At 46.7% G+C, this 12,366-nt stretch overlaps 1 protein-coding gene across 1 annotated transcript, besides 3 other annotated features; it reads left to right on the top strand.

The window, feature by feature from the left end:
• Positions 6,591 to 7,210: a silencer, noted in NCBI's record as "silent region_18900". NCBI's record gives its function as "represses an Ori minimal core promoter by ATAC-STARR-seq in GM12878 lymphoblastoid cells {active_cell/tissue: GM12878}" and the evidence as "EXISTENCE:reporter gene assay evidence [ECO:0000049][PMID:35858748]".
• Positions 6,591 to 7,651: a biological region, named in NCBI's record as "H3K27ac-H3K4me1 hESC enhancer GRCh37_chr8:8559273-8560240".
• Positions 6,684 to 7,651: an enhancer, noted in NCBI's record as "H3K27ac-H3K4me1 hESC enhancer chr8:8559273-8560240 (GRCh37/hg19 assembly coordinates)". NCBI's record gives its function as "activates a minimal SCP1, AML or CMV promoter by ChIP-STARR-seq in primed H9 embryonic stem cells {active_cell/tissue: H9 hESC(primed)}" and the evidence as "EXISTENCE:reporter gene assay evidence [ECO:0000049][PMID:30033119]".
• On the top strand, positions 6,858 to 9,017 carry CLDN23 (claudin 23). Its single transcript, NM_194284.3, has one exon. It carries the CDS (start codon positions 7,320 to 7,322, stop codon positions 8,196 to 8,198), a length of 879 nt encoding a protein of 292 aa, NP_919260.2. The 5' UTR covers positions 6,858 to 7,319; the 3' UTR covers positions 8,199 to 9,017.
• Positions 9,018 to 12,366: the final 3,349 nt, after the last annotated feature.

Below are 12,366 nucleotides of genomic sequence, written 5' to 3' on the forward strand. Positions count from 1 at the left end.
GTTTTGCTTAGAAAACCTTTTCACTCCTGTAGCTTTACCTCCACCTCCACTTCCTTCTAATTCTTTTATTATTAGTTTTTTGTCTCGTTGTGTTTTGTTCGTGGTTTTTTGTTTTGTTTTGTTTTTGTTTTTGTTTTGTTTTTGTTTTTTGAGACGGAGTTTCGCTCTTTTGCCCAGGCTGGAGTGAAGTGGCACGATCTCGGCTCACCGCAACCTCCAACCCCCATGTTCAAGCAATTCTCCTGCTTCATCCTTCTGAGTAGCTGGGATTATAGGCACTCGCAACCAAGCCTGGCTAATTTTTGTATTTTTAGTAGAGATGGGGTTTCACCATGTTGGCCAGGCTGGTCTTGAACTCCTGACCTCAAGCGATCCACCTGCCTCGGCCTCCCAGAGTGCTAAATTACAGGCATGAGCCATCGCGCCCGGCCAGTATTAGTTTTTACGTGTAACTAGGTAGTCCACCTAGACTTTGTTTTTACATATTTTGTAATGTATATGTATGAACTTAGGTTTTTTTCTTCTTCCAAAGCTAAACAATTGCCACAATACTATTGAGTTTTCATGCCTTTCTCTATGATTTGAAATCCCACTTTTCTCATATTATAAATTTATAACTAAGGTCTACTTTTTTGCTTCAATTGATGATATTTTTATTGATCTACCTTCATATTCTAGTGCTAACATAGAATTTAAGTTATTATAGCTTTAAACTACATTTAACAGCTGGAGTGTGCAGACCCTTTCATAACTGCTCTATTTAAAAGTTTCTTGATGTGTTTCATTCATTTATTTTTTTTTTGAATGAACTTTGAAATCACCTGTCCAGTTCCTGTCTGACACTTTATTGGGATTGGATTGGGTCTGTACATTAACGTGGAAAGGGTTACCATCAGTGTAGTACTCGGTTTTTACATTTAGGACTTTGCCCAGTGGCCATGTGGTTTTCTCAAAAGATAAATTTTGCCAAAAATGAAACAAACCCCTTGTGAATAAAAATAAATAAATAAATAACAACAGAAACTGAAAATTATCTCAAAGACCTCAATGAATTTTGTCCATGGCATGGTAAATATGTTTGCCCTGCAGTAGACAGGAAGGGCCAGGGTTGAAGAGAAGCAAGCATGGCAAGACAGAGGCAGCTGCTGATTCCTAGAACAGCAACTCCCACCCCAACTCCCACCCAGCATTTCCCTCTTGTCAAGGGAGGCCACTGTGACTGTACGCCAAGAAGGGTTTGAAGCCACTAGAAGATAAAACTTAAGCATATTTTTTGAAATAGTGGCACAGTATCACAGGATGCCTTCTGATTTGTGTGAGAGGGTGGCAAGTTGATTCCTGTTTTAGTGGCCATCTAAAGTCGCCACACAAGAAATGAAATAAGACAAATTCAAAATGTTGTATACTCTCACGTGTGTAATCCCAGCAGTTTGGGAGGCCGAGGCAGGCAGATCACTTGAGCTCAGGAGTTTGAACCCAGCCTGGCCAACACGGCAAAACCCTGTCTCTACCAAAAATACAAAAATTAGCCAGGCATGGTGGTGTGCACCTATAATCCCAGCTACTCAGGAGGCTGAGGCAGGAGAATCGCTTGAACCCGAGAGGCAGAAGTTGTAGTGAGCCAAGATCACTACAGTGAGTGAGATTCCATCTCAAAAAAAAAAAAAAAAAAAAATGTATACATCACAGCAGCATTCACAATAACCAAAAAAGGTAGAAGCAACCCAAGGGTTCACTGATGGATGACTGGATAAACAAAATCTGGAATTTATCGACAATAGGATATTATTTTTTGCCATAATAAGAAGGAAATTCTGACATATGCTACAACATAGATGAATCTCGAGCGCATTATGCTAAGTGAAATAAGCCAGTCACAAGATAACAAATATTGTATGAATCCATTTACATAAGCTATCTAGAGTAGTCAAATTCAGAGTGACAGGAAATAGAGGGGTGATTGCTAGGGGCTTGGGGGATAGCAAGGATGGAGAATTGATGAATGGGGATAGAATTCCAGTCGTGCAAAATGGAAAGAGTTCTGCCAGTTGGTTGCACAACAAGGTGAATGAACCTAAGACTACTGACCTTTACCTAGGTGACCTGTACATGTAACATGTTTAAGATGGTAAACTTTATGTGGATGTTACTATAATTTTTTAAAAAGCGATGTATGCTACATTCTTCTATTGTGTTACTATGCAGGAACTTTACAAAAATTCTTTCATTTATTTAATAGATTTGTACTGAGTACCACTAAGAGCTAGGCACTATTCCAGCAGCTGAGATATAGCCACAAGCAACATCTCTAGTCTTTGAAACTTACAATGCGGTGTAGGAAACAATATAGATAAGTCAGTACACACATATTAGAAAACACGTGGCAGTGATAAATTCTATAAACAGAACAAATTAGAGGGAAGTGATACTGAGCTAACAAGAGGGCTATTTCACACTCGATGTGAAAAGTTATTGATTTATTTTCTACAATATTAGGCACTCACAGTTGGTAAAACAGCTGTTGGACTACTGGCCAAAAAGAAAAACTAATACAATATTGAAGGGGCTTTGTTCAATTCAGGCTGTTTTAATGCTATTTAAAAATAAAGATCATAGTTTAAGTTTTTTCATAGTCTAATTTTTATTCTATAACTCACTGAAGTAGATTTACCATAGGATGATTATCAGTGGAGTTCATTTCTCACTCCTATTCAGAATTCTCATAGTATAACATTGTGAACAAAATTGTCTTATCGCTTAGCAAACACAGGAAAGGGTGTTCAGAGTTCCAGGAAGAAAAAGAGAAAATAGCCTTTGGAGAAAGTAAAATAAAGACCTGGCAGAGGGAATCTGAGGACATCTTATTATGGCAAAGTGATCTAGTGCAGGGGTCCCCAACCCCTGGGCCACCAACCAGTACCAGTCTGTGGCCTGTCAGGAACTGGGCCACACAGTAGGAGATGAGCCATGGGCGAGCAAGCATTACTGCCTGAGCTCCACCTCCTGTCAGATCAGTGGTGGCTTTAGATTCTCATGGGAGTGTGAACCCCATTGTAACCCGCACATGCGAGGGATCTAGGTTGCCTGATCATCCAAGATGGAACAGTTTCATCCCGAAACCATCTTTACCCCCACAACCCCATGGAAAAATTACCTTCCATGAAACCTGTCCCTGGTGCCAAAGAGTTTGAGGACTGATGATCTAGTGGACCCTCTGTCCTAGCCAAAGTTGGTAATGTGACTTTCCAAGATGAAGCTGTTGCAGGTTGCACCTTTGTGCGAGGTGGTAGCAGAGGCCTAGAGTGCAGGCAAACAGGGGACTCAGCATCAGTCCCTTCAGAATTCACTGCTGGGGGCTCACTATTCATTTCAAAAGCTGCAGCATAGTGAACAGATTCTTGCATTACTACCGGGCCCTTCTTCAGAAAAGAAATCTGTGGTAGAACCTGGGTATCCACTTACACAGCCAGGTCCTAATGTCAGCAATCATTCATTCATTCCTACCACAGAGTGACTCATGCTTTATTTCTCCCTCAGACTTCAGATGAACTCAGAAGGCCAGGGAACAGAGGTCAGCTCTATCCCCAGATGCTATGCTTAACACAGTCACTTCTTTCTCTATTGTCGCAGAAAGTGAGCCCCACAGGCCTACGCTTATTTGTCGTAAATATCTGGAGCTATCCCATACTCGTATGGGATAGATTGTTTTCTATGCTAAGGAAAAAGAAACATTCAAACAAATCAACCTGCTTACTGAGATGTATGTCACAATCTGTTTTGGCCAGACGGTCATTTGTTGGAAAATTCAGTAGGTACTATGTGGAAGAACTCAGGGCAGAAAGACATAATATTGATTTGTTGAGTGGCTGCGGTGGCCCAGGCACCAAGATGTGTTTGGAGGACAGAACAGAACAAGATCTATGTGGTCCCTGCCCTCAGAGAACTCCCAGACCAGCTAGAAAACAAAATGATTCAAGGACTAAGGAACTGTGGTAAGTGGTGTGACAGAAGGGGTGTCACGGAAGTATATGAAAGGAAAAATTAATTAACTTCATCTAGGGGATGAGGAAACCCTCCCAGAGAAAATGGCACTTAAGCAAAGATCTAAGGATGCACTGGAGTGGGGAAGTGATAGGCAGGGCACTAGGAAAAGAGAAGGGCATTTGCAAAGGTCTGGAAGCAAAAGGGCACACAATGTTCGGGGAAAATGTGGGGGGAAATCCAGTTTCTTTGGGTTATAATGTGAGGAGATGAGGCGGCAGGGAGGGAGAGACAGGGCTGGAATGCAGGGCTGGGTGGGACTGGGAATGGTCTTGTAAAGGGTTGATGCAGGCCAGCTGTGAGGTTCGTGTGGCTAATAAAAAGGGAGCCACAAAGCCCGGTGTAGGAGACCAGTTAGCAGCTTAAGGAGAAAGATGGGAGAATGGCCTGTACTGGGAAGAGGCAGTAGAGAAGAAAGAGACATGGAAGGACGAAAGACAGATTTAGGAGGTAGAACCCCCAGGATGCCCTTCCTCCCCACAGGTAAATAACACCTGGGCTTCACTCATTCCACAGAGATCTAAGCAAAAACGAAACTATGTTGGAAGAGGATTCAAATCACATGAAGCATTTATGAAGTGGCAGTGTCACACATGATACCTTCTGACATGTATGAGAGGGATGGCAGACTGATTCCTGCTTTAGATAGTTAATCACCACACAGTTAATGAAACAAGACAAATTTTAAATGATGCATAGGCCAGGCACAGTGGCTCACACCTGTAATCTCAGCACTTTGGGAAGCCAAGGTTGGCAGATGAGTTGAGGTCAGGAGTTCGAGACCAGCCTGAGCAACAAGGTAAAATCCCGTCTCTACTAAAAATACAAAAATTATCTGGGCATGGTGGTGGGTGCCTATAATCCCAGCTACTAGGTAGGCTGAGGCAGGAGAACTGCTTGCTTGAACCCAGGAACCAGAGGTTGCAGTGGGCCGAGATTTTGCCGTCACACTCTAGGCTGGGCAGCAGAGCAAGACTCCATCTCAAAAAAAATTTTTTTAATTAAAAAAAATTAAAAGTGATGTATATATCACTATTACATAAATGATGCAACAGCATTATTCACAATAGCCAAAAGGTAAAAGCAATCTAAGTGTCTATGGATGGAAGACTGGATAAACAAAATGTGGTATTTATGCACAATAGAATATCATTCAACCTTCAAAAGGAAGGACATTCTGACACATGCTACAATATGGATGAACCTGGAGGACATTAAGCTCAGTGAAATAAGCCAGTCACGAAAGGACAAATACGGTCCGATTCCAGTTCTATGAGGTACCTAAAGTAGTTAAATTTATAGAGAGAAAAAAGTAGAATGGTGATCACCAGGGCCTGTGAGGGAGGGAGGAAAGGAGAGTTAGTGTTTAGTGGGTACAGTGTCAGTTTGGGAAGAGGAAAAAATCCCAGGAGTGGATGGTGGTGAGGGTATCACAACAATGTGAATGTATGTCATACCAATGAGCTGTACACTTAAAGATGGTTACAACGGTCAACTGTATGTTACATATATGTTACCACAGGTTTTTTTTTTAATTTAAAAATATTCTTTTAAAAAAAGCAGTCACTGTCATTCCTAGTGTTGTCCACTCTGGAATATTCAAAATTATTTCAAACCAATGCTAAATTAACTTGAATTTTAAAAATAGTTTTAATTTTAAACAATTATAAAGGCAATACGTTTTCATTGTAAAAATCTAGAAAATACAAAAAAGTGTTATTAAAGGATAATTTTTAGAAAAAATGTAAACATCGTGACTTTCACACAAATATAAAATGAATATGTGTGAAAGAGGTTATTTAACTCATTATTGAATAAGGAAACCAGTATGATGTTAAAACCAAAGAAGCTGGCCACTTGCCTGCAGTCCTAGCTACTCCAGAGGCTGAGGCGGGAGACTCACCTGAGCCCAGGAGTTTGCAACCAGCCTGGGCAACACAGCGAAACTCCCCAACCCTGTTTAAAATAAATAAATAAATAAATAAATAAATAAATAAATAAAAGAAAAAGGAAAAAAAAAAAGCAAAGAACAAAAGGACACACATATACAGACAAACAGGAATGCTAAAATGAATTTACAAATCAATGCCATACTGGTCAGTATCCATTGGACAATAATCATTCCACTGGGACGAACTCATTAGCCTTGATGTTGGCAAAAGTCATTTGCAATACTACAGGCTTTCTATAATTTATAGAGTTGTAAAATAACCTACAGACGAGAAAGGCCACAGTACACTGTAAAATTAAATAAACCTGCAAAAAACGCTAAGCAGGACATCCGGGAACACTGGTCCCTCTTTCTAGTCCCCTTGAAAGTCTCACAAGGCTGAAAAAGGAAAGTAAAATCCTTGTGTAACCCTTCTGCCCAGAAGTACACTGGCACAGATTCTTTAGAGACGAATTTAATCCAGAGTGTGGAGCCTTTATTAAGGAAATAATCCGGTGCAACGTTCTGGGACACGCTCCTGGACTGGGTGGGCTTCTGCACACTCACCCAGCGCACCTCCAATCCCCGGGAGCGCTCGGCACCGCCCACTTCTCTGCGAGTGGCTGCAAGTTGCAGAGCAAACCAGGGGGCGATCTGGAACCCTCTGGGAGTAAAGGGCTAAGCTATAAGCGCAGGGTCGACGGGCAGGGACCGGAAACAAATTCTAGGAACCGAGATCCGCTGAGCAGCAGGGAAGCTGCGCAGCCACCGCGTCCCGCCAGCGCCGCCTCTTTCCCTCCCCGCCCACCGCCCGCCTGGCCCGGCGGGGCGGCGCGAGGACCCAGGGGCGGGGCGACCTTTGCTCCGGCCGTGAGCAGTCCAGGCCAGGCGTGGCCCAGCCGCCCGGCTGCAAGGTGGGGTGTCCCCGCCGCTCGGATCCCCATCTCACCTGCCGCGGGCGAGGTGGCCCCGCCGCTTCCTGCGCTCACCTCGGGTCCCTCCCTCCCGGGCCAGGTTTGGCCGCGGCAGCCGCCCCTGGGCGCCCGCGCCCGGACCCGCGGTTTCGGTCAGACCCGCCCGCGGGCTGGTTTCGATTAGGGCCAGTAGGAGGGCGGAGCGGCCGGGACGCCAGGAGGGAACTAGCCTAAGTGGGGACGGTCCCCGTGCAGGAGACAAAGAGCGTCCCTGGAGCGATCAGGGCTCAGGAGCCCGACCCGGAGCCCGGGGCGTCCGCGCTGACTTCGGGTCCCCGGAGCCTGGGGCACGGCAGGGAGAAGACGACGGCGGAGAAGGCGACAGCGGAGAAGGAAGGCAGGCTGCAGGGGCGCCGTCGGCGCGGCGGGCCGGGATGCGGACGCCGGTGGTGATGACGCTGGGCATGGTGTTGGCGCCCTGCGGGCTCCTGCTCAACCTGACCGGCACCCTGGCGCCCGGCTGGCGGCTGGTGAAGGGCTTCCTGAACCAGCCAGTGGACGTGGAGTTGTACCAGGGCCTGTGGGACATGTGTCGCGAGCAGAGCAGCCGCGAGCGCGAGTGCGGCCAGACGGACCAGTGGGGCTACTTCGAGGCCCAGCCCGTGCTGGTGGCGCGGGCACTCATGGTCACCTCGCTGGCCGCCACGGTCCTGGGGCTTCTGCTGGCGTCGCTGGGCGTGCGCTGCTGGCAGGACGAGCCCAACTTCGTGCTGGCAGGGCTCTCGGGCGTCGTGCTCTTCGTCGCTGGCCTCCTCGGCCTCATCCCGGTGTCCTGGTACAACCACTTCTTGGGGGACCGCGACGTGCTGCCCGCCCCGGCCAGCCCGGTCACGGTGCAGGTCAGCTACAGCCTGGTCCTGGGCTACCTGGGCAGCTGCCTCCTGCTGCTGGGCGGCTTCTCGCTGGCGCTCAGCTTCGCGCCCTGGTGCGACGAGCGTTGTCGCCGCCGCCGCAAGGGACCCTCCGCCGGGCCTCGCCGCAGCAGCGTCAGCACCATCCAAGTGGAGTGGCCCGAGCCCGACCTGGCGCCCGCCATCAAGTACTACAGCGACGGCCAGCACCGACCGCCGCCTGCCCAGCACCGCAAGCCCAAGCCCAAGCCCAAGGTCGGCTTCCCCATGCCGCGGCCGCGGCCCAAGGCCTACACCAACTCGGTGGACGTCCTCGACGGGGAGGGGTGGGAGTCCCAGGACGCTCCCTCGTGCAGCACCCACCCCTGCGACAGCTCGCTGCCCTGCGACTCCGACCTCTAGACGCTTGTAGAGCCTGGGGGGCGCCGGGTGGCAAAGGACTCACCCCCGCACAGGCCCGCCTGGCTTCGAGTTGGAACCCGGACACTTGCCCCTCACTGGTGTGGATGGAAATCTGCCTTTCGTGGGACCAAACAGGACTCCTTGGACGATTAGTTCAGGTTGGGTTTGGTTTTCTTCTTAAAGAGTTTAGTTTTCCTCTCCAGAGGGATCAGGGTCCTCTTAGGGAGTGACGGGCTTTTCATATATTTTTGCTGAAGAATATATGGAAAGGGTGGCATTTGCGTCACGTGGACCAGGGACAGTGCTGAAATCAGCAGTGCTCAGAAACAATTTAACATGTTGAAACGACAATATTCTAAAATACTGATGAATCTTGCATCAATATAATTATTGGGTTTTTTTTCTTTTTCCTGCTGTATAACTCCTTGCCATGCAAACTCTCAAGAGGCCAATATATTCCTGGCCATGTTTGAATGAGCCTCTTAAAATAAACTTAGAGCCATGCAAATGCCAGCAGCTTAATGGATTTCATGGAATGAAATACCGTGATTAACTCATAGCTACATATCATTGCATAAATGGGATTTATCTTTTTTCTCACTTATTTTTGCGGTGAAAGTCGAGGGCATGCAAGAGTTTCTCTTCCAGAAGCCAAGAGGAGAACAAAGGTCCTAATGCTGTACTATTCCACCCTTTGGACGCCTCATCCAGGACGCAGAGGACTCTAGGTTTAACATTTTGTACAAAATGGAACCTGTTAATCATATTAAAGCACATATGTATATATCTTTTATTTATAAATAAAATTTTAAAACAATAGTTTCAGTATAGCCACAAAAGCTCTTTTGTCTTCAGTACAACGTTTGGGAGTTTAAACATTCATTACTAACAATTTCCTGGCTGCCTCGGCACTTGTGTCTGAAATCTAGCACTCAAATCTTTGCACCTCTTAGCATAAGGTTACTAAAAAAAGCCAACGGGCCCCACTTAAGTCCCTGATTGCTTTGGTTTTAGGTTCATGCCATTTCTGTGCAAAGCCAAGTCTATTGCTGAGAAAACGAGAAGCACCAGTTTCCACTTGAGGTGAGACTGGAAATCTTTTCCTTTGTAGCAGTGGTGTTTAGAATCACAGGAAGGCAGCTATGTGTTCCATGAAGGGGACTGGGTCTCCAGCAGGGCTGGCTTCAATTCCAAGTGGTTGATTTAAGGGTACCTTTAACCGAACTGAATCTCTTCTTTAAAACCTGCCGTTCAGAGGTAGGAACATTCATTCAGTTCAGCAAGCACTGATAATAGCTATAGTGAGGCTAACTTAATAGCACATGCTGCCTGTTAGAGTGGAAGGGATGACAGAGATTCACTTCCCTTGCCATTTGGTACTGGAATCACTTCTTTCTCTCTTTCTGAAGCCAGGCTTTAACGTGTAGGCGGTATCACTTTGGAATCTCTTTCAAATGCAGATTCTGATTCAGTAGATCTGGAGTGAGGCCCTGAAAAGATTTCCTAACTGGCTTCCAGGAGATGCCAATGCTGCCGGCTCATGGACCACACTTGGAGTTGCAAGGCTTTCGCTGGGACTGTCTCACTCAAATTTCAATCCCAACTGGTGGCTCATATTCAGACCTTTGAGTGCCTGCTACCGAGATGCGCTTGGGGACTTGCTCGAGGGTACAGAGCCAAAAGGGAGAAAGTGCAACAGGGCTCTTTTCCACTAACACCTCCGAAGGCAGCAATTAGGGACCTGAGAAGTCAGCACCTAGCAGACACCGTACAGGTACTGGGCTCCTGGCAAATGGTGAGTCTGGGCTGCATCATAATTCTATCTCCAGGGAAGCTTTGGTAAAAACACACAAAACTTTTGTGTGTTTTGCTTTTCTCCCCATCCCAATGATTCTCCACTGCCTTATATGCAAAACATTTCCTGCCTGAGGATTAGGATTCGGTTGCTGGGAGTTAAAACTCTACTTTTCCCCTATCAAGAGAACGAAGCCAAAACTCCTCCTTTAAAAATACAAACTCCTTTTTGCTATAGAAATATTCAAGACAGCCTGTAATCCCAGTGCTTTGGGAGGCCAAGTGGAAGGAATGCTTTGAGGCCAGGAGTTCGAGACCAGCCTGGGCAACATAGCTAGACCCCATGTCTACAAAAAAATTTTTAAAAGTTAGTCAGGCATAGTGGCAACATGTCTAGAGTCCTAGCTACTTAGGAGGCTGAGGCAGCAGGATCACTTGAGCCCAGGAGTTCAAGGCAGTAGTGAACTAAAAGCACATCACTGCATTCCAGCCTGGGCAACAGAGCGAGACTGTCTCTTAAATTAAAAAAAAAAAAAAAAAAAAAAAAAAAAAAAAACGGGCATGATGGCTCATGCCTGTAACCCCAGCACTTTGGGAGGCCGAGGTGGGCCCATCACGAGGTCAGGAAATCGAGACCATCCTGGCTAACATGGTGAAACCCCGTCTCTACTAAAAATACAAAAAATTAGCCGGGCATGGTGGCGTGCGCCTGTAGTCCCAGCTACTCGGGAGGCTGAGGCAGGAGAATGGCGTGAACCCGGGAGGCGGAGCTTGCAGTGAACCGAGATGGTGCCACTGCACTCCAGCCTGGGTGACAGAGCGAGACTCTGTCTCAAAGAAAAAAAAAAAAAAAAGGTTCAGGAGAGCATGGAAAGAGAGTCCTGCATCAGTCTGGGATCCACGTTTGCCCTGCGGGTCATTCTCTGCCACAGCAAGTCTCAGGAGTTGCTGCTGTGGGCAAGAATTTATCCTAAACTTTTCCTAAACTTACCACTGACCAGCCCAGCAACTGCACCACAGAGAACACACTCAAAGCACTTCTGTCTTGTATCAAGCCCTCTGACCTACCAGACTCATGTTTAATCCTCCCAATCCCCAAAGGAAGTATAAGTCCCCATTGAATGGATGAAGTCTTTTCTAGATTACTCAAGTGATGCCAGGAGGACGGTGAGTTCTGTGAAGGTAAGGCAGAAACTGCTTTAACACATCCCTGCTCTACCCGTTCGCCAATCTGGCTCTTATCTGGACACACGCCCTCACCAAGGAGGGGTGTGGCTTTGAGCACACAGCTGGTTCTCCACCGTGGAGGCTGCGGGAGGTGCTGTCAGGGTGCTTTGGCAACCATCCTTCCCTTCATTGTGTAGATCGTTCACCCAGTATGTTTTTGAGCGTCTGACATTTTGCCAGCACATTTGTGGGCACCATGAAAAACAATACCATCCAGGCCCATTCTGTGTGGAACTTAAATAATCTCCTGTGATCATGTACAAATAAAATGAAAAAGATTAAGCCAGAAATCAAGGGATGGAGGAAGAAAGGTGTTTTTTGTTTTTGTTTTGTTTTTGGGAGACAGGGTCTCACTCTGTCACCCAGGCTAAAGTGCAGTGACATGATCAGGGCTCACTGCAGCCTCAACCTCCCAACCTCAGTGGATCCTCCAGCCTCAGCCTTCCAAGTAGCTGGGACCACAGATATGCATCACATCACCCAGCTAATTTTTTTTTTTTTTAAACAGACAGAATCTCACTATGTCACCCAGGCTGGTCTCGAACTCCTGAGCTCAAGTGATCCTCTCACCTTGGCCTCCCAAAGTGCTGGAATTAGAGGTGAAAGCTCCCACACCTGGCCAAAGGTGATATTTTAGGAAAAGTGGTCAAGAAGAAGGAGGTACTTGGGCAGAGAACTGAAAGAAGAGAGAGAGGAGCCTTTTAGGCAGAAGGAACAACTTCAAGTTTCCACTAGAGAAAATGTGAAAACAGGTGGGCGTCTCAGTCTTACTACCAGCTAGTTTTGCTTCTCTTTCTAGAATCGGGTGGTAAGGCCAAGAAGCAGCTGGTGGTACAACGGAGTAACCCTGAGTCAACCTTGTCATCTACTCTTTGCCAGGCTAACAGATTCTTTCAGAGGGAATACCATCTGGAACAAATTCACCCTGTCTTCTAGAATATTTCCATAAGCAGACAGGGAGGGTCTCTGGGGATTCTAGGAATTTAATCAACTTGAGCAATCAGCCTGTTTTGCAGCCTCGTGCCCTGCAGTCTGTTTCTTCCTAGACCCTGCGTGGTCACCCAGCAGGTTAAAGCAGCTCCTGACAGGCCCCAACAACTTTTAGATGAATTCGGTGAACTTTCCTCATGGCCATTCTATAGTCTCC

Source organism: Homo sapiens, chromosome 8, assembly GCF_000001405.40.
Source record: "Homo sapiens chromosome 8, GRCh38.p14 Primary Assembly".
Lineage (NCBI taxonomy): Eukaryota > Metazoa > Chordata > Mammalia > Primates > Hominidae > Homo > Homo sapiens.